Source organism: Homo sapiens, chromosome X (genome assembly GCF_000001405.40).
Source record: "Homo sapiens chromosome X, GRCh38.p14 Primary Assembly".
Classification (NCBI taxonomy): domain Eukaryota; kingdom Metazoa; phylum Chordata; class Mammalia; order Primates; family Hominidae; genus Homo; species Homo sapiens.
In genome coordinates this window covers 67766534-67794209 of record NC_000023.11, presented here as the reverse complement: position 1 = coordinate 67794209, position 27676 = coordinate 67766534, and the positions used below count along the sequence as shown (strand labels likewise).

Below are 27676 nucleotides of genomic sequence, written 5' to 3'. Positions count from 1 at the left end.
GAGACAGAGAGAGAGAGAGAGAGAAAGAGAGAGAGATGCAACCTTTTGAGAGAAGAATCAATCACTGCCCTCATGAGGCATTTTCTAGGTTCCTGATGGTACTAACTGGGTCATATACAAATAAGATATGTATGTATATAGGAAGGGACCAGGAAACTTTGTTCTTACCTCCCAGGAGCTTCTGGTCTAAGAACAATAGTCCTACTCTATCCCTTCTATGCCTTCCCACAGCATTGTTGGAACCACTTGTTGTCATTTAGGTGTAACTTTAATCCATTTATCTATGAGTTTAATGAACATTTATTAATTACATTTTCCTGACCAGGCACACCAGAAAAGAAATACTGGACTGATCCTGAAGACCTGAGTCCTAGTTCTAGTACTACCACTAGGAATGAGTTCTACGCCTCAGTCTCTCCATCTATATAAGAAGGACATTAGACTAGATGATCTCTAAAAAAACTTCTAGCCCAAACAGACTTGGTTCCTTTGAATTGATTCAGGTTTGGCCAAAAAGGTATTTTAGGGCCAGATCATACTAGATCTTTAATACCTTTTGAAATGTCTGGGACTTCCCCAGAGACGATAAGAAACTATGGAAGTTTTTCAGGTTATACTTGGGTAGTGCTTCTAAGTTAAAATTGCAGCTTTCAGTTTGCTGGTTGTGTGATCTTGGGCAAGTTTCTTAACCTTTCTGTGTGAGTTTCTATAGAACGGGAACAACAATTGCACCTATGGCATAGCATTCGTACTAGGGTTAATGAGAAATAAACATAAAAAGTCCATAGCACATTGCCTGGGAAAAAGAAAATGATTAATCCATGGCAACCATGATTATTACTGTTATTAATTTTCTGCCTTCTAGACACTCTCTCTATTTTCTAGCCAGGTTAGTAGGCCCCCTTTCTTCTTTTCCTGCCATCACACAAGGAAAACAGCTGCCCTTGCTGAAAAAGAACTGGCAAGGGTGAGGGTGGGGGTGGGAGGGGAGGGGATGTTGTCAAGGAAGCCCTGATTCGAATTAGAAATACCTTCTAGCCCAGCAGAACAGTATTGATTACTGATCGCACTCCTTCCTCATGCTCCCTCCCCAGGGCACAGAAGAGGAGCCAGGCTTGGGAGGTAGCCCAGCTGAACACCTACGAAGCAGAGGCTCCTCTTTGGCTGTTGACAGTGGTATCTGCTGCTCACTTTAAGATGGCCAGTTAGCCCACATTCATTTTCTGCTCAATGACTTTTAACTTTCATTGTCTTTTCCACTCGCTTTGATAACCTCAAAGTGGCTGCTTTTCTGAGATCTTTCATAACGCAAAAATGCATTGAGCAATCGGAGTCAAAATCACTGAGCTAAATCCCCACTTAATGTGTGTGCTTTGTGGAGGATACTTAATTGATGCCAGAACCATAATAGAATATCTGCATTCCTTCTGTGAAACCTGTATTTCGTGTTACCTATAGATCAGCAAATATTGTCCTTTAATGTCCAAGTTCACAAAACCATTATGCTCTGAATATAACATCAGATAAAAATCCTCAATCTATTGTATACAATTACTTCCAGGCCTTTTCAGAAATAAAATGAGAAGGGATCTTTATGCATCTCTTTATTCAGCTGTTGCTGCCAATGGCGCTAATGAAAATAGAGAAGTTGCAGATGAAGATAAGAGAATTATAACTGATGGCGAAACAATAAGCTTATCCATTGGATTTTTTTTTTTGACCAGAACAGAAAGTAAACAAAGACAAAGAGAAGTTTAAGGAGGAGGTGAATGATAAAAGTTATTTACAATGCTCAGCCAGAATGACTGTGATGAACCTAAGGAACATATCTTATACTTCCCAATTGATGTCATGTATGAAGAGGAATCTTTAAAGGATAAATATACATTAATGGATATTACTTACATTTATATGTGGATAAGAAATGGACTTCTTCCTTTAAAGTACGGTGTTTGACCTATTAGTAAAAGAATGAAGCTTAGTTGCTGGAGAGATGAACTGACAAAAATGCTGGAGAACTGGAATGTGACTTTGGAATTAACAAGGCCAATGGCCTAGTAGGAGTTATTTCCTCTAGCTCTTCTTGTTTGCCTAGCTGCACTACTCCAATCCAGTCTCCTCATCTTCACTTTCCTCACATGCCCAGTATTATGAATGCCACCAGGAACAGTCCCACTGGTAACTATGAACCTTTCTCTGCCAACAGACCTAAAAAATCATCAGCAAATGGGTTATTAGAAACTTCATTCTTAGGTTGATAACTGAGACTGTTAAGGAAAAAAAAATCCAGCTCCTAATTTTTTTTTTTTTGAGACAGGGTCTTGCTCTATTGCCCAGGCTGGATCACAGTGGTGTGATCACAACTCACTGCAGCCTAGACCTCCTGGGCTCAAGCTATCCTCCCACCTCAGCCTCCCAAGTAGCTGGGACCACAGGTGAGTGCCACCATGCCCAACAAATTTAAATTTTTTTTTAAATGTAGAGATGGGGGTCTCCCTATGTTGCCCATGCTGGTCTCAAACTCCTGGGCTCAAGCAATCCTCCCTCCTTGTCCTCCCAAAGTGTTGAGATTACAGATGTGAGCCATAGTGCTCAGCCAAGCTCCTAATTTATATAGGTATGTCTATGCCATTACAGCTTTACAAACACTAATACACATGACTGTGGTCAAATTTGCTTTCTTTTGTAGTTACATTGAATTTGACTATAAAAGATGGACCAAGTGTGACATTCATATATACATTACTTGGAAAGAAAGATTGTCTTAAAAAGAACTGGTTTTTGTGTGGGCAGGCAATGTTTTCTTCTGTGTGAAGTGTTTTCTGTAAACACTGTTTGAATGTGAAAACCCTCTAAAATAGACATAAACCTTGGTCCATAGTTCGTCAATCTCCATTAACATCTGTGTTACATGCTCTTGGATTGTTCTTGCTATTATGTTGTTTTATGAACCTGTAGACAACACATGCTTTTTATTTTGAAATTTAAAAAATAAAAAGAATATGCATAGAATGGTGCATAGACTATACATCAAATGCTGCGATGTAACTGTGAGTAGCCATTTCTTGCATATTTAACCATTTTGAGTTCTTCATTTCACTTTACTTCTCTGTTATTGCACAGAACAATCTTAAGAAAGTAAACAGCAGTTTTACAATTTGTGTGCTTTAAAAGTGGGTACTATTGTTTATTTTTACTGACTTGTTTAAATGAATATATTTTGTAAGAATCAGATGGCATTATGCTTGCTTTACAATGCTGTATTCGTACAGAAACAGTATTGTATATTTATAAATATAATAATGAAAATATTGTGTTTCATGTACTTAGAAATGGTTTTCAAGTTATCCAAACTAGTTCAGACTTGGCAGATACTCTGTGTTTGAACCTTGCTTATCATCATGTAACATTTTAAATGTGGATACACAAATCTAAATTATTTTCCATTGGAAGAAATTGACAAATCATTACAATGTTGAAATATTTCCAATAATACATTTTTTACTTTAAAATTTTATTACTATAATAAAGAAAATCTCTTAACCAAGGAATATAAAAATTGTGTATATCGTTCTAAATTTTGCCTGTTGGCTATGGTGGAATTAGTGTGTTTTTAAAATGCCTGTCAGTAACTATAATTCTATAGCAAATTTTAAAATGAAACGTTTAAATTTTTAAATGAATCAGAATTTTTCTTTTAGTATGGGGCATAGTAGCATTTTCTAATTTAATAGTTACTTTAACAGTTATAAACAATGGAATATACCTTCTCTGTAATGTCTGATAATACAAATAATTTATTATGATCTTCTACATGTATTAATTTTAAAATAGAGTGAGCATGTTGAACATAAAATATGAATAACTCCAACAATTTTCCATATATATTTTGCTTTGGCCAAACTGTGTATATTTATCATCTATCAGTTACATGTGAGGCTGTTTATTCTATATGAATATTGCTTCAGGTTTATATGGAAAATTTTTGGCTAAACATTTCATTGTCCCCTCTATGTAAAAAAAAGCACAATTCTATCATTTTGTCTTGCTTATCACTATTAAATCACTACATTTGCGTATTTTTAAAAATCAGAACTGGGAACATCCTAGGTTTTGCCAAAGAAGAGTTCCAAAAGACAAGGGTGTAGGAGGGAAGGTACAGTTTGTATCAGATGCCCATATTTTATCTACTGGGTTTTACTTTCCCTTGAAGGCACTGGTTCTCACTGTCACCCCTTGTAAGGGAACAGAGTTCTCAATTTAATGAGCACGGAGAAATTCCCAGGTTTGGACAAAGAAGAGCTTGGAAAGGAAGGCCTGCAGGAGGGGAAGGATTGGCTGCCCACAGCTCACCTCTCAGGATGATCTCTTTCTCAGCAGACACAACTGCCCCACTACTCTTTCAACTCTAGCTCAAGAAGGTATGCAAACTACATAAATTTGTGATTGCATTTGGCCACAAATAATAAAAGCAAATAAGCAAACAAAGAAACCCGGAAGTTTAAACAAGCAAAAGGTTTGCTTTTCTCATATAACAAGAAATCAAAAGCTAGCAAGTCCAGGAACCACTGGATATTCAGGCCCTCGTGTCTTTATGCTCTGCCATTCTTGCCTGCAGCATCATCCTAGTGATATAGGTATCTATCTACAGGATAGATAGCTCCTGAAGCTCCAGGCATCATGGCTGCATTGCAGGAAGAAAGAAGAGGACAGGAAAAAGGCAAAACTTATGTGCCCATATAAGTGTCTTTAAAAAAATAAACTTCTAGAATAGCAACACAGTGAGTTCTGCTTATATCTCATTGGCTACCTGTCATCTGGCTACACTTCTACAAGGCAAGGGAGGCTGAGAAGTGTAGTTCGTTCAGCTGGGCACACTTCTGCCTCAAACAAAATTAATGTTCTGTTAGACAGGAATAAGAGTGTAGGTATGGGATAAGGACAAGCAGTCTGCCACACATATTTTCTGCTTCTTTGCGGTACAGGTGAAAGTGGCTGTCATTTCACAAATAATTGTATTAAATACTAAAAACAGATCAAAGAAGGAAAGAATGACAAGAAAATTAAATCTTATTAACAAGGTCAATTTTACAAAGCAGTTCTTTGTGGCCAGAAGACAAGTATCCAGGCGCCTCTACCACTTCAGTGGGGCCTTGCTAGCACCACCTCCCAGGAAACTACATTTCTGCCCTCCCAGCTTCCTTCTAAATCACAAGTGCCACCTTTCTTGTTTATTTTACTGTCTTTTTAAAATGAGTATCTTTTGTAAGGATCAGATGGCATTATGCTTGCTTTACAAGGCTGTATTGGTACAGAACTAGCATTGTATAGTTATAAATATAGTAATGAAAATATTAGAAGGATAACAAAGGTACCTTTGGAGCACTCTCTTGGGTCTCACAAGCTCTTTCTAACCTAAGGCCAAAGACAGGGGTTGCCTAGGGCCGAATTTCCTCAGGTACAGTTTTCAGCCTGCCTCATTCATAGTCCATTGACGGGGCTTGGGTAACAGGGATGTCAGCAGTGGCAATGAACAACTGAAGATTAGAGGCCCTTCTCCCATTTCTCTGGATGCTGCATAAGCCTGCTGGATCAGGATCACCAACGTGGGAGGTGACATTAATGGCTTACATGGGGGTAAGCAAATGGAATATGCCATGTACACCTGCATTTGTACCTGAGAGTCATACCTAATGCAAATGTCTCCCTCATTCCAATGGTTCCTCACTGTTCCTCCACATGGCCCTTTGATGCTGACTTCACCTACCTGCTTCTTGTTGTGCTTGCCCTCTGTGTCCCTACCCCCTTCAACTCCACATGCTAGCCAAGATGTTTCCCACTGGCATCTCAAAGAGATTAGATATTATTTACATGATATATAAATATAATGTGATTAAGAGCTTCAGCTCTGAAGGGTGCAATACTGCCTTCCCTCTTGTCTACTTAAGATAGCCTTAGGTAAGTCATATAACCTCACTGTGTCTCAGTTAGCCATCTGTAAATGGGATAATAACATTACCTACCTTATAGGGTTGTTGTCAGGATTGAGTGAGTTAGTTCATAAGGTACTTGTCACATAGCTAGTTCTCAATAAATGTTAGCTACTGCAATACAGCTATGGGCTTTTGACGTGTTAGTTCCTCTGCTTGGAGCACCCTTTTCCACCTCTCCTGTTGGAAAACTCTCTTTTGTCCTTCCAAAATCACTCCAAATTTATCTCCTTTATGAAGAGCTAAGCAAAATTAGGGATTCACTTAGGTTTATTCAACACTTTGCACATGGCCCTCACTAATCTGGAACCTCCTTGAGGACAAGGTTCTATGCCTTATTTCTTTATCCTTAGCATCTTGCACAGGGCCTGACCTACAGTAGACTTTTGGTGGCTGTTTGGGAATGAATGAATGAATTGATGATGAATGCAAAACAAAATGCAGCAAGTGGGATCATCATATTCTCCCTTCCCAAGACTCCCCAATGACAGATTTTATAAGTTCTGCCACATACACATCACTTTTGCAGAATTTAATATAATACCCTCTTTCATGATGTCCTAAAATGTGACTCCACACCCCCCGTTTTATTCATGATAACCTATGGGTGTTAAAACTCACTGGACTAGCTATCAGCAGAGGGAGCTGATAGGGAGGGATGGTGTTTGGGAGGACACGAGTTGGGGTGGAAGAAGCCTAAGTCATCAAGATCTCCAGGGATGATACATCCCATTCCATTCCTTTCCCATAGGGCATGCTCTTAAAGATGTTTCTTGAGGGGACGTGAAACTTTCATGACCTACAGCAGTTCCTGTCTGTGAAAAGGATGGGGCAGCTGTGCCTGATTATAGAGAAAGAGGCTGGGAACTGAGCCAGAGCAGTCATAAAATGATACAGAGGCTGATCATAGGCTTATGTTGTCAGATAACCAAGGTCCCAAGCAGAATCAGGTGTGGTTGGCAAGTTATTTGAACCAAACTGATGGAAGGAGTAGGGCCCTCTCTTTGATAGTTCCCCTTGTGTCCAAAACTTGGGAATTCACATGAACCAAAAACTCTGACAGGGATGACTTCCACTAGAGTGTTAGGCCATAAAGGGTGAGGGATGAGGTGTGGAAAATTGGCAAAATCAAACTGTAATGTGGTTGCTTCTTTTCCTATGGCTTTGCCACTGACTCACTATGTGACCTTGGGTAAGTTCTCTTTTTTCTAGGCCTCAGTATCCCCATCTCTGCAATAAGGCGGCTAGACCTGATGATCTCTAAGAAACTTACAGCTCTGTAATTTTGGCATAAATTGTGAAATGAGATATCCAAAGACCCTTACAACCAGGAGAGATTCATCTGTCTGGCTTGAAAAGAAGGCTGCCCAGCATGAGGGCAGGGGGTTGTATAGGATGATCCCCTTGAAAGCCCAATGATCCTTGAATGTCTGTGTCCCCCAAGTAGTCTGGGGCTAATTCGAGCTCACTCCAGTCTCCTAGCCTTTGTATTCTTAATATTTTTTTTTGAGTGCCACCCCTAGCATGGGGCCCTGGCCTTGAAAGGTCTGAGAGAGGCCCTGGCTAATGAAGGCATTTCTTCCCTAGAGGAATTGAAGTGCTTTTTCCAGGCTGAGAAGGTGATAATTTTCTCATTTAAATCACATCTATTATAAACTTAAGTGGGGCTTATTTAGAGAATAATTTAGTTTCTCAAGACAACTGGAAAAAAAACTATTAGCAGTGGGAGACTGCTCCAAGCAGATGGCTTTTTTTTTTCTCCTGAGGTTGGGGGGGCAGGGTGGGGAGGAGGTAATTTGCTGGCATTTTTATAGTCCTTTGAAGCTAACAGTGGTATGGCCAGAAGGAAACATGGCTCCTTAGCTCTGGGGCAGGGCCTGGGAATCTGCATGTTGCTTTCTGGGAGTTGCAAGAAGGGAAACATCCTTGAACTACAGAGAAAATGGGTAAAAGGATAACAAAGGCACAGAAATGATACAAGGAGAAGCCCTAGGATGTGACTTAAGGAGAAGGCTTGGGGTCATCTAAAGTACAGAATGATGGGATTGTGATATTTAAAGACTGGAAGGGCCTTAAAGGATTGCCTGGGTCAAATATCACCATTTTGTAAGTTAGGAAGCTGAAGCCCAAGGGGCAGAGACATGTCCGAGTTCATACACATGCATAAACACACTCACAAACACACCTTAAAGTTATGGAATCGTAGATACACAGTGTCCTGGAACTGAGCCACTGTAACACAGTTTATCCAACACCCCCGCCCCTCCCCCCCCGGCCTTATGCTATCAATGGGGAACTAGAGGTCCAGAGAAGAGAAAGGATCAACCCAAGGTCACACAGAGAGTCAGCGGTAAGCTAGGGAATGGAGACACAGAGAAAGAGGTATTTGGAAACCCCATAAAGAATGAAGTGGGAGATGGAAGAAAAGGCTGCCGAGATTTGACACCAGGGAATTAGCAGGCAGACCACACACAAAGAGTGTGTTTACTCTTTCTAAGGCAATCCTGCCCTGGATAGTGGTCTTCATTTCCAAAGATTGCTGCAGAAGGAAGGCTCATACACTAGAGGCACATGTAAAAATTGCTATAGCCTCCAGTTCTTGGTTTCCATCATTTCTCTCTTCTCATCTCTCTCCATTTATCCTATCCTTGCTTGGCCTCCTCAGTTTCTCTCTCTGGTTTCTCTCTCTCCCTTGGGTTCTTTGTTTCAGAATCACTACTCCTAGGCCCCATCTTAGTTTTGTAGGTTGTGTCTATACCTAGCTGAGTGGCACCTCTTAGAGTTGCAGTGTGCATCCTGTATAACTCTATACAGCATTCCTGCTCCACCCCATCAAAAACAAAATGTTTATTACCTTATCTCAGGTAGATATATGGGAAGGAAGGCCTAGATTAAACACTAATGATGCCATTTTCCCTCTCTGGTGTCATATCGCTTTCAAAAGGAGAGCTAACTGCCTCCAATGAAATCTCATTGATGGATGATTATAGTTGGAAATATGAAGTTAGGGGAGGGGGGATAATATTGGGGATATAACTACTCCTAATATAATACCTTACAGATCTAGCACCAAGGACTTAAAGTTAGAGAATTCTTTCAATGAGATACTCATTACTGAGCACCTACTTTGTGCCAGGTTTCGTGTTAGGTATGGGAAGGGCATGAGAGTGAGAAAGTGGCAGGGAAAAATTACACAAAGAATTTCACAAGGAGTAGGGCAGGTGATTGCTTAAGGAGCTAATTATAACTCGGAGCTGAAGGATGTGTGAGCTAAACAGCTCAATATAGAAGTACAAAGGAGAGGGATGTTATCTTCTAGTGGGGGTGAGGGAAAAGGAAGGCTGCACAGAAGAACTGGCATTTGTGTTCTGCCTACAAAGCTGAAAAGGATTTCACCCAAATCAGGGAAGGTGAGGGGAAAGGGAACAGTGGGATGAGTAAATGCCTAGGAACCTGAAAAAATAGAACATGTTTGAACCTTGTGATAGGAGAATAACAGGGAGGAAAGGGTAGATGAAGTTTTACAGTTAAGAGTGGTATAAAAGGGAAGCCCGCAATGCCAGGCTAAGGGGTATGGGTCTTATCCTTGGGGAAATGAGGAGCCATTGAAGAGTTTTAAGCAGGGAAGTCACATGATCATATTTTGTTGTTTATTTTGTTTTCTTTCTCTGGATAATAATTATGGCAGCAAAGTGGAGGACTGGCTGGAGGAGGGGAAGCCTGAAAATAGGGAGATGAGTGAGAACATTTTGAAGGACAGAACTGAGTCAGTGTAACAGATAGAAAAGATATTTTGGTAGTAGATTAACAGAATTTGAGTAATATTGGATTGAGGGGTTTAAGAGTGAGCTACTAATGCTCCAGAACAATCACTGATCTCAATGCCGTATAACAACAAATATTTATTTCTCACTAGAATAACTTCAGGTCAACTAGGGTTGTGATGACCAGGCTGGGCTTGTCCTGGATTGGCTACAGGAATGAGAAAACACACACAATGCTTCTTAGTACCTAGCTTCAGAATTTGCATGCTGTCACTTATGCCAGCCTTCCATTGGCAGAAGAAAATAACATAACTGGGCCTAGAATCAGAGTGGAAGGGAGTGACATGTCACATGTCAACAAAGAGCATGGATAAAGAGAAGGGTGAATAATTGAGACCATTAATGCAATCAGTCTACCACAGTTGGAGCTGAAGGATGAGGCAAAGGCGGAAAGGTGAAAAAGACCATACGGCACATTTGAGAAACAAACAAAAGGCTAATATGGCTGTACCACAGAGAGCAAGGAGGGAGAGTGGTGTGATATAAAGCTGGTAGATGCCAGATCATGTAGGTTATCACGGGTCACAGCAATGGTTTTAGTCTTTATTCTGAAGGCAATAAGAAACCACTATAGAGATTTAAGTAGAGGAAGGACATTCTCCAAATTTTCAGCTGGGGCAAATGGATACCTTATGATGCTATTCAGTGACATAGAGAAGCCTATTGAAGCCTGAGTTCTTCAGCTGGAAGACCAAGATTAGGTGTATGGTAGATCTTGATGAGTATAAGCCAAGGTTTCTCAATGTTTAGTGCTATTGACATACTAGGTGTGATCAATGTTTGTTGTGGGGCTTGTCCTGTGCATTGTACGGTATTACCAGCACCCCTGGTCTCTAGCAGATGCTGGTCGTACTACTCCCCGCAAGTTGTGATAACGAAAAATTTCTCCAAGCATTGTCAAAGTCTCTGGGGACCAAAACCACCTCTGGTTGGGAATCACTGGGTCTAATCTAACCCTGGTCTAAACTAATCGTGGTTATTTCATTTACTTTGCCACTAATTGATTAGGAAGTGACATGCATTTCAGAGTGCTGGCTGTCCCCCCTGTTCTCCACTTCTTTCATAGCAATAGAGTGCCACTTTTTAGCTGGGCACTTTGCTATCAGATTCTCTTACAGATGGGTGTAGGAATGACACTAGGTTTTTGCCAATGAGTTTTTTTTTTCTTTTTTTTTTTTTTTTTTGAGAGGGAGTCTTGCTCTGTCGCCCAGGCTGGAGTGCAATGGCACGATCTTGGCTCACTGCAACCTCGCCCCCCACTCCGGGTTCAAGCGATTCTCCCGCCTCAGCCTCCCAAGTAGCTGGGATTACAGGCACCCGCCATAATGCCAGGCTAATTTTTGTATTTTTGTAGAGACAGGGTTTCACCATGGTGGCCATGCACCAATGAGATTTAAGTGGAAGTGTTGTATTCGATTTCTGGGAAGGCTCCTTAAAATGGATAGTGCGTCTTCTCTTCTGTTTCCTCTGTCTTCCTTTCTGAATATGAATGTCATGACTGGAGTTCCAACAGCCATTTGGGGCCATGTAGATATGGGCAATTCCATAAGAATGGCAGAAGAGAAGGCTGGAAGGATTCTGGGTCTCTGACGACTTTGTGAGTCTGTCATACCGGCCCTCAGCTGCCTGCCCCTGGGCTTCTATACAGAAATAAAATGTTACTATATTCAGGACATCCATTTTGTTTTATGTTTTGTTTCATTTGTTTGTTTTTCTGTTGTATTGCTGCAGAATCTAAAGTCCTAACTGCTAAAGCACATAGTGCAATTCTTACCAATGACATGTGAGAAGAAGTCTGTTGTGGAGCTTGGAGGAAAGGTTACTTCACTTGATCCTCACCAAAAGGCAGAGAAGTGACAGGAAAGATTTTTGCTGTCTAAAGATGAGTGAAAATGAAAGACTTTTCTCTTTTTCAGCCTTTGGCTATTAGTGTATGGAAACTTGATGCCTGGCACTGTGGCAGCCATATTTTGACCATAAGAGGAGCAGCTGACATGCTAAGGGTAATAGAGCAGACAGATGGAAAGAACCTGGATTCTTCATACCAGTGAACCGCTGAATTGACCAACAGCAGAACAGAGTACTTGTTAGATAAAGCCAATACACTGTTAACATAATTTAATCATTTTTACTTAAGTTTCTGTTACTTGCACCTTAAAGTCTCCAAAATGATACAATTAAGATATGAAGGAAAATAATGAGCTAAGTTGGGATATATAGAATTTGAAAAAATTTATGGGACATCTTTTTTTTTTTTTTTTTTTTTTGATATAGTCTTGCTCTGTCACCCAGGCTGGAGTGCAGTGGCGCGATCTCGGCTCACTGTAACCTCTGCCTCATGCCTCAGCCTCCCGAGTAACTGGGATTACAGGCACACACCACCAGGCCTGGCTAATTTTTGTATTTTTATTAGAGGCGGGTTTCACCATGTTGTCAGGCTGGTCTTGAACTCTTGATCTCAAGTGATCTGCCTGCCTCTGCCTCCCAAAGTGCTGAGATTACAGGTGTGAGCCACCATGCCCAGCCTGACATCTATGTTTTTGATGCCTAATAGTCCGTTGACCATATATATTTAAACCTAAAAGAAGATATGAGATTGGCCTCAGTAATGGGGAAGGAGCTCTAGTCCTCCTTGCAGGTGGGGGCTTGGCTATCCACTGTGACCGACCTCCCACTTCCTTATAGCTAATCTATTGGCAGGGTCACAATAGGGGAGCTCTACTTCAGGGTTCCAGGGAAAGAATAGCAGGGAGCTGCAAAAGAAGGGGCATGGGCCTCACTAGAATCAGAATGATATCTCCAAGGCCCAAAGTCAGCACTTGTTCAGGCTGACCTCAGAATACTGGTAATACTGTCACTCCCTCTCCCCACACCCCACATTCTGAGCTTGGCTTATAGCAGTAGCTTAGGGGAAAATCCAAGTACATGTGGGACCCCTGCTAATGTTACCAGCTGGTTATTATCCCTATATTGTCATTAAAGCTTGAGGCCTCCGGCTAAGCTCCTATACATGCTCATAACCACCAGAGGACAGTACGGTCTGGACAAGGCTTGCCAACCAGCAATGCAAGCCAGCCTTTCTGGAATTATTTATTGCCTAAACCAGAGGCCCTCCTACCTCTGCCTTTAATTTTAGACTGGGGCCCAAGAGGCTCTAGGAAGGAAGCTCAGAGCCATTGGGTTTTGAAGGAAGCTCTAGCACTTTGCCTTTGTCTTTGTTACTCCGTTTCAGGCTTTGTAGGGAAGCAAGAACTCCTCATGGCTTCAGAGTATCATGGGTTAAAGCCAAAAGCAGCTGGAAGCACAAGCTAAAGGATATATTTGGAAGGTGGATTCCTCCTCCTCTTCCTCCGGAAGGGGCAGGCAGATCTTGGCCTCATGCCCAGATCACAGAACCACAGACTCAGAGCTGAAAGAGCCCTTAGCTATCAGGCAGAAATTCTTAGCCTACAAGTCCATGAGTCACTTGAAATTGTATGCTAAATTGTGGCATCTGCATCCACAGATTTCGTCAGATTCTCAGAAGTCTGTGATTCCATGAAAAGTTAAGAAACATTACAAGCCCTTTAAGTTACAGACAAGGCACTGAGAGGGGAGGAGCTTGCCCAAGGCCACAGAGTTAGTCAGGGTTAGAGCTGGGACTGGAAACCAGGCCTCTGACATCAGTGCAGACACTCTGCACTATGCAATAATCCTTTAAACCCTTCTCTTCAAGCTGTGGTTTCCTGGGCACATAGGGGAATAGGGATAGAAGGTGATGGTAATGGTAAGCTAGATCTGGGCAGCAAGTACAACCCAGACTGCATTTGTAGGTGGTGGAATAGGCTGGAGGGGAAGATGGGAGCAGTGTCAGGGAACCCAGCAGTCTTATTGGGGAAGTTACCAGGGTGCTTTCTCCATGTCCTTTCTTTCTCTTTTCCTCTGGCTCCAGGATTATATCTTCTTACTTGTCTTACACATTATTACTGACTCAATTTCCTTGGGTTCCACCTCAGTATGCTCAGCTGGAGTTTAACTGTGGATTTGGATATAGTTTCCTTAGCTTCTTTCATTTTTTGCCTTGCTGAGCAGTGAGCATTTAGGAACTTTGGGTGTTGGTGCTATTCACTTCTGGGCCAGGGGAAAACCAAAATAACTAAGTAATCTTATAGAATGTTTTGAGTAACTGGCCCAGATCTACCACTAAGCTCAGTGGCCTATATAATGTCAAAGGGGAAAGAGATCTTAGGAAGTTCATCGAGTCCTTGATTATACAAATTGGGGTCTGTGGCCCAGAAAGGAATAGAGATGAACCTGTCAACACACAGTACTTAGGCAGGTGGAACTGCACTCTAAGGATATAAGAATCCTAGCTCTCTCTAGCATGCTTCGCTTTTCCCCATTGTGTTTTGGCCTCTCTAGGATGGTACTGGAAGTCTCATTTTGAAGCCCTGGCCAGCAAGTAAAGCTGTTAGTCTGGTGGGTTTTTTAGGCCCTATCAGAACCTTCTTCCTGATCTTGTGCCTAATACAGGACACTCCCCACTGCAAACATGCCAGCAGGTCAACCCTCTGGCTCCCAACTCCTTAGTTGTGTGTCCCTGAAGACAGTATGGCAAAATAGAAAAAGTCCCACAGACTGGGTTACTATACCAGGCAAGTTCATTTCTCTTCTCAAAACTCAGGTTTTTAAATCTGTAAAACAGGGAGAGAACCTCACTGGGTACTTTTAATTCCCTTTATGCAGCTTTACGTATTTTCATAGCGTTTATAACTTTCTTGCATACCTTATAATTTATTTACTTATTGTCTTTCCAATTGAAATGTCAGCTCCATGAGGGCAGGGCTCTTTGATTGCTTTATTCACTTCTGCATGCCCAGTGCCTAGAACAGTGCTTGACATATAATGCGTACTCAGTGAAAAGCTGTTAAATGAATGAGTGAGGATTAAATAAGAGAATGAATCGGGGAGTGTCCAGTTAACAGGAAACTCTCATGTTGAGAGTTCTTTTGGTCTTTCTAGGTGCTGATCCTGGCAAGTGTGCTGGTTAGCTAAGTACTTATCCCCCTCCCTGGCCTGCCTTCACAGCTGCTGCCTGCTCTTTGCACTGCATACCAAGGTGATATTGTAGCACTCCTTGTTGCAAGGTTGGAGATTGTGTCCCAGAGGCAGGCTGGGAGCTGGTGTGAAGAGTCAGAAGGCTATTCCAGTCTAGATTTGTAGCTGTCTTCCCCGGATGGTGAGATTCTTGCACAGGTGCTGCGCTCTCTCCTTGTGTAAAACAAATACCTAACCCCCAAGAAAGACATGAATGATTTACTGGACAATTTAGTACCTTTTGGGTGGAATCAATTAAAAAAATAATCCGCATTTAGGAAGCACTTAGAAATCCAAAGATTGTTTAACTACTAAGGTCACTATTATGAGAGCTTTGTCATTGTAATGAGAGTTCCAGTGAATGTACATTTAAGGCAGTCTGGCCTCTTCTGCCCACTCCCCACTTCTTCCCTCATCTGCCCTCACCTTCCTGAAAGTTGTGTCTTGTCTGTCTGTCTGCCTGTCTCTCAGACCACTCCTTGTGTCTCCTCTAAGCGTGCTCTTTCTGGGTTATCGAATTATGACATCTGCCTATCTTTTTCCCCTGTCTTTGTCTGGTTCTCAACCCTCATCTTGAGAAGTAAGCTGTAAAATATTCTCTTGGTAATTAGAAGTGGTAAAGCAGTTCTGCTGGCAGATAAGTCAGAAAATAAGTTTCTGAATTTCCAGAGGAAAGGCCATGGATCCCCTAACAGAATCTTTTGAGGCAGGAATTGTTATCTAAGTCTCTGTGAGCTGTGAGACACTACCAAACAGATTATGCTTGGGCCTGTACTGGGGGAATTCTCAGTTGCACAGAACCTAGAATACTACGCACGTATAAAACTAAGAGATTACCTAGACTACCTCTGCTCCCTTTAAAAGATCTATCTATCTATCTATCTATCTATCTATCTATCTATCTATCTATCTATCATCTATCTATCTATCTATCTAGATATGATTCTTCTCTGCAATAACTTGGAAAAACACTTGTCTAGGCCCCTCCTGCATATCTCCTATGATAAGGAGTTCACTCCATCTAATGACAACCTGTTTCATTTATAGGCTGCTCAGTTAAAAAGTCCTTCCTTGTGTTGAGCTGAAATTTGTTTCCTGCTGGTTCCCACCCAAGGGTCTCATTTCTGCCTTCTGAAGCCTCTCAGACTCCATCTGCTCTCTCTGTTCCTGACAATATCTTAGAGGTCTACAAAAAGAGCACTTCTCTTAAGTCTTCTCTTCTCCAGCTGATAGGATTTGGATGTTTGTCTCCTCCAAATCTCATATTGAAATGTGGCCTCCAATGTTGGAAGTGGAGCCTAGTGGGAAGTATTGGATCCTGGGGTCAAATCCCTCACGAATGGCTTAGCACTAGTTCCTTGGTGATGAGTGAGTTCTCGCTCAGTTAGTTCATGAAAGATCTGGTTGTTTAAAAAGGTCCAGGACCCCTCTTCACTCTCTTGCTCCCTCTTCTTCCTCCGCCATGATCGTAAACTTCCTGTGGCCTCACCAGGATTCAAGCAGACAGCAGCACTATGCTTATGCAGCCTGCAGAACCATGAGCCAATTAACCTATTTTCTACATAAATTACCTAGTCTCAGGTATTCCTTTATAGCAACACAAAATGGACTAAAACACTAGCATAAATGGCCACAGCTCCAAATTCTTTCAGCCGCACCCTTGTCTGTTCACTCCCTTCTGTACACATCCTACATATGACCCACTTAATGTATGGTAGTCCGAGCCAAAAGGAAGTCCCTCAGTAAGGGTCTAACCACTACAGAGTGGAAAGGGACTGTTGCTTCCCTTGATCTAAACACTATACATATGTTGTTGCAGCCTAAGTTCCCATTAGATTTTTTGGGCTTTATCATCTCAGTGATGATGCCTATAAGGGAAAGTCTCAAGTTCCTTTTCTGCAAACTGTGTATAGGACAGTCTATTCCACCCTGTGAATAGTCAGTTGGTTTTCTGCACTCAATTGCAGGCCTCTCCATTTGTAACTGTCAATCATCTGGTCAGGTTCAACCACTTACTTCAGCCTGTTGACATCTTTTTGGAGCCTAACTCCATGGCCTGAAATATTCCTCCCTCCTTTTCAGCTTTCAAACTTTAGTAATAATTTCCTCTCTTCTCTCTACATGAGCCTGTTTTGCTATTTTGTTGAGACATCAAGTCCCTCATTCATTCCTTCAGGAGGGTAGGGGCCACCTTCTCTGGGTGCTCCTGGGGGCAGTTCTCAAGGCCTGTGGCATGAAAACGACTTTGATCAGTGAGAACCAGCAGCTCACTGCTGCTCGGTGGAGAAGGCAGCTCCAATAGCAACATCTCCCTCAGCCTACCTGGGCCTCTGCCAGGGAGAACCCCACATACTGGCTGGCTCATTCAGATGTGGATAAAGTAAGATTTCCAGTTGGCTGCCAGAGATGAAGCCCTGGGATATCAGGCCAAGCAAGGGCACATCAGCACATCAACCTGATTCCTCTGATGGCTCAGAAGTTTTCAGGATCAATGGGCCTCTAGTCATTTATGTCACAACCCCTTCTTCATCCTTGGAGGGCTGGCCTGATTCCAATATTGACTGTCAGCACTCAGCTTTTTAAAACCGGCCGTATTTCTGACAGTCTTGGAGAAAAGACTGATGGCAAAAAGGGCTGTAATATTCCAAGAGCCTCCTTCTTACCAGTCCCCTTAACAGCTTATATCTTTTTATGTTAACACTTTATTTTAGAAGAATACATACACATGGTCAAATATTTTAAAAAAAGGAAGGAAAGTTCAAGATTCTTACAATCCCACCATTCAGGCATAAACCATTATTTGACGTTTTGTTGAAAATCTTATATTGGCAAACACACACACGCTCGTGTGTGTGTGTGTGTGTGTAATGCAACGTTATATTATTGAAAATATGCATTGGCAAAACATTCTGATCTAAAGTATCATTCCTAATGACATAATATCCCATAGGTACTTCTCTTGGGAGATATTTAGGTTGCTTCTAATTTTTCTTTCTTTTTAGCTTTTATTTCAGGTTCAGGGGTACATGTGCACATTTGTCATATAGGTAAATTTGTGTCATGGGTTTGTTGTACAGATTATTTTACACCCACGTGCTAAGCCTAGCAACAATAGTTATTTTTTCTGGTGCTCTCTCTTCTCCCACTCTCCACCCTCAAGTAGGCCCCAGTGTCTATTGATTCTTTGTGTCCATGAGTTTTCACCATTTATCTCCTACTTATCAGAAGAACATGCAGTACTCGATTTTCTGTTCCTGCATTAGTTTGCTAAGGGTAATTGCCTACATTTCCACTGATATTCCTGTGAAAGACACAATCTTGTTCTTTTTTTATGGCTGGATAGTATTCCATGCCATATATGTGCCACATTTTCTTTATCCAGACTATCATTGATGGGCATTTAGGTTGATTTCATGTCTTTGCCATTGTGAATAGTGCTGCGATGAACATTCATGTGCATGTATCTTTATAAAAGAACCATTTATATTTCTCTGGGTATGTACCCAGTCATAGGATTGCTAGGTCAAATGATACTTCTGTTTTTAGCTCTTTGAGGAATTGCCACACTGCTTTGACAATGATTGACCTAATTTACACTTCCATCAATGATGTATAAGCATTCCCTTTTCTCTGGAACCTCATCCCCATCAGTTATTTTTTGACTTTAATAATAACCATTCTGATATGTGAGATGGTATCTCATTGTTGTTTTGATTTGAATTTCTCTAGTTTTCAGTGACATTGAGCTTTTTTTATATGCTTGTTGGTCACATGTGGGTTTCCTCCTCCTCCTCCTCCTCCTCCTCCTCCTCCTCCTTCTTCTTCTTCTTCTTCTTCAGACAGAGCCTTACTCTATTGTACAGGCTGGAGTGCAGTGGCACAATCTCGGCTCACTGCAACCTCCGCCTCCTGGGTTCAAGTGATTCTCCTGTCTCAGCTTCTCGAATAGCTGGGATTACAGTTTGTTTATTTTCTCATAAATTGGCAAGTTCTTTATACATGCTGGATATTAGACCTTTGTCAGATGGATAGTTTGCAAAAATTTTCTCCCTTTCTGTAGGTTTTCTGTTTAATCTGATAGTTGCTTTTGCTGCACAGAAGGTCTTAATTTTACATTCCATTTGTCAAGTTTTGCTTTTGTTGCGATTACTTTGGTGTCTTCATCATGAAATCTTTGCCCGTTCCTTTGTCCTGAATGGTATTGTCTAGGTTGCCTTCCAGGGTTTTTATAGTTTGGGGTTTTACATTTATCTCTTTAACCAATCTTGAATTGATTTTTGTATATGGTGCAGGAAGGGGTTCAGTTTCAATCTTCTGCATATGGCTAGCCAGTTATTCCAGGACCATTTATTGAATAGAGAGTCCTTTACCTATTGCTTGTTATTGTTAATGGTGTAGGTGTGTGGCCTTATTTCTGGGCTCTCTATTCCATTCCCTGGGTCTATGTGTTTGTTTTGTACCAGTACCATGCTGCTTTGGTTACTGTAGCCCTGCAGAAGAGTTTGAAGTCAGGTAACGGGAAACCTCCAGCTTTGTTCTTTTTGCTTAAGATTGTCTTGGCTATTCGGGCTCTTTGTTGGTTCTGTATGAATTTTAAATAGTTTTTCTAGTTCTGTGAAGAATGTCATTGATAGTTTGATAGGAATAGCATTGAATCTATAAAGTGCTTCAGCTAGTATGGCCATTTTAATGATATTGATTCTTCTTATCAATGAGCATGGAATGTTTTTCCATTTTTTGGTTTCATCTCTGATTTCTTTGAGCTTAATTTTCATTATAGAAATCTTTCACCTTCTTGGTTAGGTGTATCCCTATGTATTTTATTCTTTTTGTGGCAATTGTGAATGAGATTTTTGTTCCTGATTTGGCTGTCAGCTTAGGTATTGTTGGTGTATAGGAATGCTCATGATTTTGGGACATTGATTTTCTATCTTGAGACCTTTCTGAAGTTGTTTATCAGGTGAAGGAGCTTTTGGGCAGAGAGTATGGAGTTTTCCAGATACAGAATTATGTTGTCTGTAAACAGGGATAGTTTGACTTCCTCTCTTTCTATTTAGATGTCCTTTATTTCTTTATCTTGCTTGTTTGCTTTGGCCAGGACTTCCAATGCTATGTTAAAATAGGAGTGGTGAGAGAGAGCATCCTTGTCTTGTGCTGGTTTTCAATGGGAATGCTTCCAGCTTTTGCCCATTTAGTATGATGTTTGCTGTGGTTTTGTCATAGATGGCTCTTAGTATTTTGAGGTATGTTCTTTCAATACATAGTTTATTGATAAATTTTAACATGAAGGGGTTTTGAATTTTGTTGAAAGCCTTTTCTGTGTATATTGAGATAATCATGTGTTTTTTGTCTTTAGTTTTGTTTATGTCATGAATCTCATTTATTAATTTGTGTTTGTTGAACCAACCTTGCATTCTGGGGATGATGCCTACTTGATCATGGTGGATTAGTTTTTTAATTTTCTGCTTAATTTGTTTTGCAAGTATTTTGTTGAGAATTTTTGCTACAATGTTCATCAATGATATTGGCCTGGCTTTTTCTTTTGTTGTTGTTGTTGTTGTGTTTTACCAGATGTTGTTATCAGGATGATGCTGATCTCATGGAATGCACTGGGGAGGAGTTCCCTCCTTCTTGATTTTTTGGAATAGTTTCAGTAGGAATGGTGCCAGCCCTTCTTTGTATATCTGTTAGAATTCAGCTGTGAATCCATCTGGTTCTGGACTTTTTTTGGTTGGTAGGCTATTTATTTATGATTCAATTTCAGAACTTATTATTGGTCTGTTCAGGGAATCAATCTTTTCCTGGTTCAGTCTTGGGAGGGTGTATGTGTCCAGGAGTTTATTCCTCTCTTCCAGGTTTTTTAGTTTGTATGCATAGAGGTGTTTATGGCAGTTTCTGGTGGTTATTTTTATTTCAGTGGAGTCAGTGGTAACATCCTCTTTGTCATTTCTAGTTGTGTTTATTTGGATCTTTTCTGTTTTCTTCTTTATTATTCTAACTACTGGCCTATCATATTAATTTCTTCAAAGAAACCAACTCCTGTATTCATTGATCTTTTGAATCATTTTCCCTGTCTCAATTTCCTTCAGTTTAGCCTTAATTTTTTTTGTTCTTGTTTTCTGCTAGTTTTGAGATTGGTTTGCTCCTGCTGCTCTAATTCTTTCAGTTATGATGTTATCTTGTTAATGTAAGATCTTTCTAACTTTTTGATGTGGGCATTTAGCGCTATGAATTTCTCCCTTAACACTGCCTTAGCTGTGTCCCAGAAATTCTGGTATGTTGTATCTTTGTTCTCCTTAGTTTCAAAGAACTTCTTGATTTCTGCCTTAATTTAATTATTTATCCAAAAGTCATTCAGGAACATGTTGTTTAATTACCATGTAATTGCATAGTTTTGAGTTATTTTAAACATCTGAACTACTATTTTATTGTGTTGTGGCCTCAGAGTGTGTTTGGTATGATTTCATTTCATTTGCATCTGCTGAGGATTGTTTTATATCCAATTATGTGGTTTATTTAAGAGGATGTGTCATGTGGTGATGAGAAGAATGTATATTCTGTTGTTTTTGGGTAGAGAGCTCTGCAGAGATTTATTAGATCCATTACATCCAATGTTAAATTCAGGTTCTAAATATCTTTGTTAATTTTCTGCCTTGATGATCTGTCTAGTACAGTCAATGAGGTTTTGAAGTAGCCTACTATTATTGTGTGGGAGTCTAAGTCTCTTTGTAGGTGTCTCAGAACTTGCTTTATAAATCTGGGTGCTCCTTTGTTGGGTGCATTATATTTAGGATAGTTATGTCTTCTTGTTGAATTGAACCCTTTACCATTATATAATGCTCTTCTTTGTCTTTTTTGATCTTTGTTGGTTTAAAGTCTGTTTTATTTGAAATTGGGATTGCAACCCCTGCTTTTTTTCTGATTTCCATTTGCTTGGTAGATTTTTCTCCATCCCTTTATTTTGAGCCTATGGGTTTCATTCCATGTTAGATGTGCCTCTTGAAGACAGCATACAATTAGGTCTTGCTTTTTTATCCAGCTTGCTACTCTGTGCCTTTTAATTGGGACATTTAGCTCGTTTACATTCAAGGTCAGTATTGATATGTGTGGATCTGATCCTGTCATTGTGTTGTTAGCTGGTTATTATGCCAGATTGTGTGATTTCTTTATAGTGTCACTGGTCTGTGTATTTAAGTGTGTTTTTATATTGGCTGCTAGCAGTCTTTCCTTTCTATATATTTAGTGCTTCTTTCAAGATCTTTGGTAAGGCAGGTCTTTTTCTTTTTTTTTTTTTTATTTGAAGGAGTCTTGCTCTGTCGCCCAGGCTGGAGTGCAGTGGCTCAGTCTTGGCTCACTGCAAGCTCTGCCTCCTGGGTTCACGCCATTCTCCTGCCTCAGCCTCCCGAGTAGCTGGGACCACAGGCGCCCACCACCACACCCGGCTAATTTTTGTATTTTTAGTAGAGATGGGGTTTCACCATGTTAGCCAGGATGCTCTCAATCTCCTGACCTTGTGATCCACTTGCCTCAGCCTCCCAAAGTGCTGGGATTGCAGGCGTGAGCCAAGGGCAGGTCTTGTGTTAGTAAACTCCCTCAACATTTGTTTATTTGGAAAGGATCTTCTTTCTCCTTTACTTAGAAAGCTTTGCTTGGCTGGATATGAAATTCTTGCTTGAAGCCTTTTTTTTTTTTTCTTTAAGAATTTTGAATATAGGCCCCAATCTGTTCTGGGTTGTAGGGTTTCAGCTGAGAGGTCTGCTGTTAGCCTGTGGTATCCCTTTTGTAGGTGGCCTGCCTTTTCTGTCTAGCTGCCTTTAATATTCTGTCTTTCATTTCAACCTTGGAAACTCTGATCATTTTGTGTCTTGAGGATAATCTTTCTGTGTAGAATCTTGCAGTGGTTCTCTGTATTTCCTGAATTTCACTGTTGGCCTCTCTAGCAAAGTTGGGAAGGTTTTCATGGACAATATCCTGAAATACGTTTTCCAAGTTGTTTGCTTTCTCTTCATCCTTTTCAGGGATGCCACTGATTCATAGATTTGGTCTCTTTACATAATCCCATATTTCTTGGAGGTATTGTTCATTTCTTTTCATTCTTTTGTCTTCATTTTTGTCTGATTGTCTTGTTTCAGAGAGCCAGTCTTCAGTTTCTGAGATTCTTTCCTCAACTTGGTCTATTCTGCTGTTAATACTGGTGATGGCATTGTGAAATGCTTTTAGTGTGTTTCCCAGCTCTGTAAGATTTGTTAGGTTCTTTTTTATACTGGCTATCTCATCTTTCAGCTTTTGTATCATTTCATTGTGATTCTTAGTTTCCTTGCATTGGTTTTGCCATTCTCCTGAATCTCGATTATCTTCATTCCTATTCATATTCTGAATTCTATTTCTGTCATTTCAGCCAGCTGAGCCTGGTTAAGAACCCTTGTTGGAGAACTGTTGTGGTTGATTGGAGGATGTACAGTACTCTGGCCATTTGCACTTCCAGAGTTCTTGTGTTTGTTCTTTCTCATCTCTGCCTGTGAGTGTTCCCTTAACGGCATTGTAGATTGAGTAAAGTTGATGGACTTCTTTTCTGAATGTTTATACAGGGCTGAGGCTTTGTGCAGGGTCCTTATTTGCAGCTTACTTCTTGCCTTTGGTTTCAGCGGGGTGTATGTTAGTGAAGTATGGTTTTTTTTTTTTTTTGTATTGAAGCTTTGGGGCGTGATCTGTAGGTGGTGCTTAGGCATATTGGCTAGTTGGTAGACTCTTCCTCAGTCACATGGCTCCCCTATATTTCCTCATAGTTGCAGCTGTGCTCCCTCTCAATGGTCTGAAGGTGTGGGCTCCTCTCCCACTTAAGTGCTGGCCATAGATTGTGGCTGGGCATTCTTGGGCTGTCCACCACAGCTCTAGGGTGATCTCTGGGTTTATGTCCCCCCTCCTCCAATTTGGAGGAAGCAGAGGAAGGGATCTTAGTAGTGGCTGTGGCCAAGAGTCCTTTGCTTGCCTCTTGGGGGTTCCACCACAGAGAGCTGCAGGTCAGCAATTGCTCAGTGCAATTAGCCCAGGATGGAAGGTCTGTGCTCTGGGCCTAATTCAAGGATTCTCTGAATGGTGATCAGCAAGGAAGTAAGTGGAACCCATGGGAGATGGACTAGCCTCCTCTCTTTGGGTTGACTGCAGCTTGTTGGAGGTGTAGATAAGGCACTTAGGGTCTTTGCTCCTTCATTAGTCTAAGGGTAGCAAGAGCAGTTCCACTGCAGAAGCAGTGGCAGAGAAGTTTTCAGTTGCCTGTGGGAGCTCTGCCTCCAAGAAACACAGAGCCACTGTTATTGGGGTTGTTCAGCCACTGGAGTGGGGAGGCTGCACTGCTGTTGTGAGCTTGGGGTTCCACTTGTTGGGGAGCTAGGGGCAGAAGGCTCGCAGGGAGGAGAGATTGTTCTCCTCTCTGTATGGTACTGGTGGCATGCTGTAAGCTTGCATGTAGCCCTCAAGCTCTTTATTTCTTCTCCAGATGAAGGGCAGCAGGGATAGAACTGTTACTATGGCAGTGATGGAGGGGCTGTCATATGCTTCTGATAGCCTCTCCCTGGGGAAAATCTGGGCCACTACCAGTGGGCATGCTCATCCATGGGTAGGGTGGCTGTTCTGCATTCATGAGCCAGGGCTCCTGCCTGGTGAAGAGTGCGCAGTGTAGGTTTCCAGGGAAGAAGGGTTGTGCTCCACACTTTGTATGGTGGCTGTGGTGTGCTGGAAGTACCAGTGTAATGACTAGACCTTTTGTTCCTTCCTTATTCTGAAGTCTGAGGGCTGTTATGGCTGTACTACTGCAACTGCAGTGGTGGAGTGGTTGTGAATTGACTCTGGGATTTCTTCCTCAGAGAAATGCTGGCCTGCCTCTGATTGCGGTGATCAGGTAAGGGCAGGTTGGTTGTGCTGGAGTCTCAGGTTGGGTGGCTCTGCCCATTGAGAAGTGAGGACCACGACCTGCATGGAGAACAGTCTGACCACTTTTCTGTGAGGTGGTTGCTCTGTGCTGGGGGTCCAAACCAGCCCTTGGTCCCCACAGACTCTTCCAAGCCTGGAAACAGCAAGGGAAAGGGCTGAAAGGAGCAAAGATGGCAACTCACCTTTCCCACTGGGAGCTCTGTCCAAGGAGCTGCAGAGTTGCTACTGGCTCAATAACCCTGGTGGGGGCTGGCTGAAGGCCCAGGCCTGGAAGACTCACCCAGGGAGGAAATATGGGAATGGGCACCTATGTAACAGTCTGGACACTTTTCCACAAGGCTGTTGTGGTATGATGGGGTTCTGCCCCAGTCCCTAGTCACTTTGAATTTTCCAGTACCTGAAAGCACCAACAGTGAAATCTGCAAAACAGCAAAGATGGTGGCCTGCCCCTCCCTCTGGGAGTTCCATCACAGGGAGGTATGGACCTGTTGCCAGCCTGAATGCACCTGTAGGAAGAAGGCTGGAGACCCCAGTTGGGAGGTCCTGCCAAGTGAGGAGAAATGGATCCAGGACCCACTATAAAAGCAGTCTGGCCACATTTTTGTAGAGCAGCTGTGCTGTCCTGGGAGGCCACTGCAGCCCCTAGTTGCTTCAGACTCTGCAAAGACTGAAAGCAACAAAGAAATGCTAAGTTGGCCAAACAGCAAAGATGGCAGCCTGCCCCTCTCTCTGGGAGCTCCATCCCAGCGATAATTTTTCAGTAGTACAAACATCGTAATAAATACTCTTGTGTAGCCAGGTGTGATGGCGGGCACTTGTCCTCCCAGCTACACTGGTGGCTGAGGTGGGAGGATCACATGAAACCAGAAGTTCGAGGTCACAGTGTGCTATTATATGATCATGCCTGTGAATAGCCAACGTACTCCAGTTTGGATGACATAAGGAGATTCCATTTCCAAAAATAAAAAACAGAAAGAAAATCTCTAGACATTGCCAAATGTCCCCTACAAAGTGACTAGCCCCCAGGTTGAGAACCACTGGGTTGTTCAAGGTGTTCTTAGGACGCAAAAAGCATGAATCATTAAAAAACGGAAAGAAATGATGAATTGGATTATATTAACACTTAAAAATTAAAAAATATTCCTGTATATAAAATACATGTTTTAAAATGTACTTATTCAGGAAAGATTGATTTAATGCTTACAGGTGCTTATTGTGCTAGGCTCTGGGGAAATATGGTGGGTAAAACATGTTAATTTTCTGCCGTGCTGGAGCTTGTAGTCTAATAGTCTGTCTGTCTCCTTGGGTTTAGCTCCTAGGGATGGAATTGCTGCATCAAGACTGCTTTCCAGAGCAATTTATATGCTTCTCAGTAGAAGACAAGGTTTCTCATTTTCCTATATTCTCATGAACATAGATTTCCTTTGAACTTTGAGTGGTTTCTTAATAATTTCTTCAGGAAAATGGAAGTGGACAACCTAGAATACAAGGGTGAGGAAGTTACATGGCCTCTAGACTCTTACCAATGTTTTCTCATTTTGGTCTTTGGCTTCTAGCACCTGATGCTTTTTGCTAGATAGCCCTAATAGTTTTCTTTTTCCCTGTGGTATTTTAGATTATGGATGATTTTATTTGTTGGTTTATTTGGTCATTCATCTATTCATCATTAATCACAGGATAAGTGCCTACTTTGCACTAAGGCCTTACCAGGTTACAGGGATATAGAAATGAAAGATAAGCTGCCTGCCCTCAAGATCTCTCAGACTACTACTCACAGGACCTGGGAGAGAGAAGGCCTCTGACACTATCCAATTAACTGAAGTGCCTTGATGTTGGAGCTCCTCAGGCCTCTGAGCATCCCGCAAAATTGAAACATCAGTGTTGGAGCCCAGAGGGTGTGTATATGGGGTGGTTCAGGCCTCTTTGCCTTCTGTGAGCAATCTAAGAAAATATAAAAAACTCATATAGAGAATAGCTCAGGCTGATATGTATGGAGGTGACTGCATGAATGGTAGAGTCCTTGCAGATGACATCTTTGGTAGTTTGACACAAAGCATTCCCTCCCCAACCCTATCTTAACATTTTGCCCAATAATTTTACCAATTGCTTTGTTGAGGGCTAGAGAACATTCCAATCAAGGTTACATATGCAAACAGGCTGTAAATGGGTAGGGCCAGGAAACAAGAGCCCAGGGTAATATCCTCAGTCCAAGGAGGGTGCATGTAGACCTGGGCTCCAGACCACAGCTGACAAGATGTATTAATCTTATTCAAGTGCAAAGTCCTGTACCTCAGCTCTAAAATCTAGCTGTAGTGTCAATTAAAAACAAAATGAAACTTTAAAAAAGTCAGTGAAATAATAGACACTGACTCCATGAAAATACCACAGGAAGCTCTAGAACTAGTGAGGGAAATAGAAAAAGAAATAGAAAGATATTGTCCAGAGTGATTAGTGCTACCATAGGGATAAATATATAACACTGTGGGAGCACTATATTAAGATGCATGAAGAATACATCCAGATGGGAAGGTGAAGGTAGTGTCAGGAATATGACAGTGAACAACAAACAAAAATTGCTGTCTTCATGCAGCTTACTTTTTAGTATAGGAATTTACACAATAAATACAAAAATATTATATACTCATATTAAGTGATATGGTGGAAAGTAAAGCAGATAAAAGGATGGGATGTGGGGGCTTGCTGGGGCTGTAATTTTAAATAAGGTACAATGACTGAGAAGGTGACATTTGAATAAAAAGCTGAAAAAAATTGCAAATGAGCCATGTGAGTATCTGGAGTAGAGAGTTCCAGGCAGAGGGAGTGATACGTACAAGGGTCCCAAGGTGGGAACATACT

The 27676-nt window shown here is 41.5% G+C and overlaps 1 long non-coding RNA gene and 1 pseudogene across 1 annotated transcript in view, besides 1 other annotated feature; both read left to right on the top strand.

Annotated features, from left to right (window-relative positions):
* Nucleotides 1161-2300, top strand: BMI1P1 (BMI1 proto-oncogene, polycomb ring finger pseudogene 1; annotated as a pseudogene).
* The window catches only part of NXTAR (negative expression of androgen receptor regulating lncRNA), a 39942-nt gene continuing 21585 nt past the window's right edge, over nucleotides 9320-27676 (top strand). The window contains exon 1 of the long non-coding RNA XR_938423.3: nucleotides 9320-9400. This is a non-coding gene — a long non-coding RNA (negative expression of androgen receptor regulating lncRNA). The remainder of the gene's footprint in view (nucleotides 9401-27676) is intronic.
* Nucleotides 13109-13403: an enhancer, noted in NCBI's record as "tiled region #14511; K562 Activating DNase unmatched - State 24:Quies, and HepG2 Activating non-DNase unmatched - State 24:Quies". NCBI's record gives its function as "activates a minimal TATA promoter and a strong SV40 promoter by Sharpr-MPRA in K562 cells, with weaker activation in HepG2 cells {active_cell/tissue: HepG2 | K562}" and the evidence as "EXISTENCE:reporter gene assay evidence [ECO:0000049][PMID:27701403]".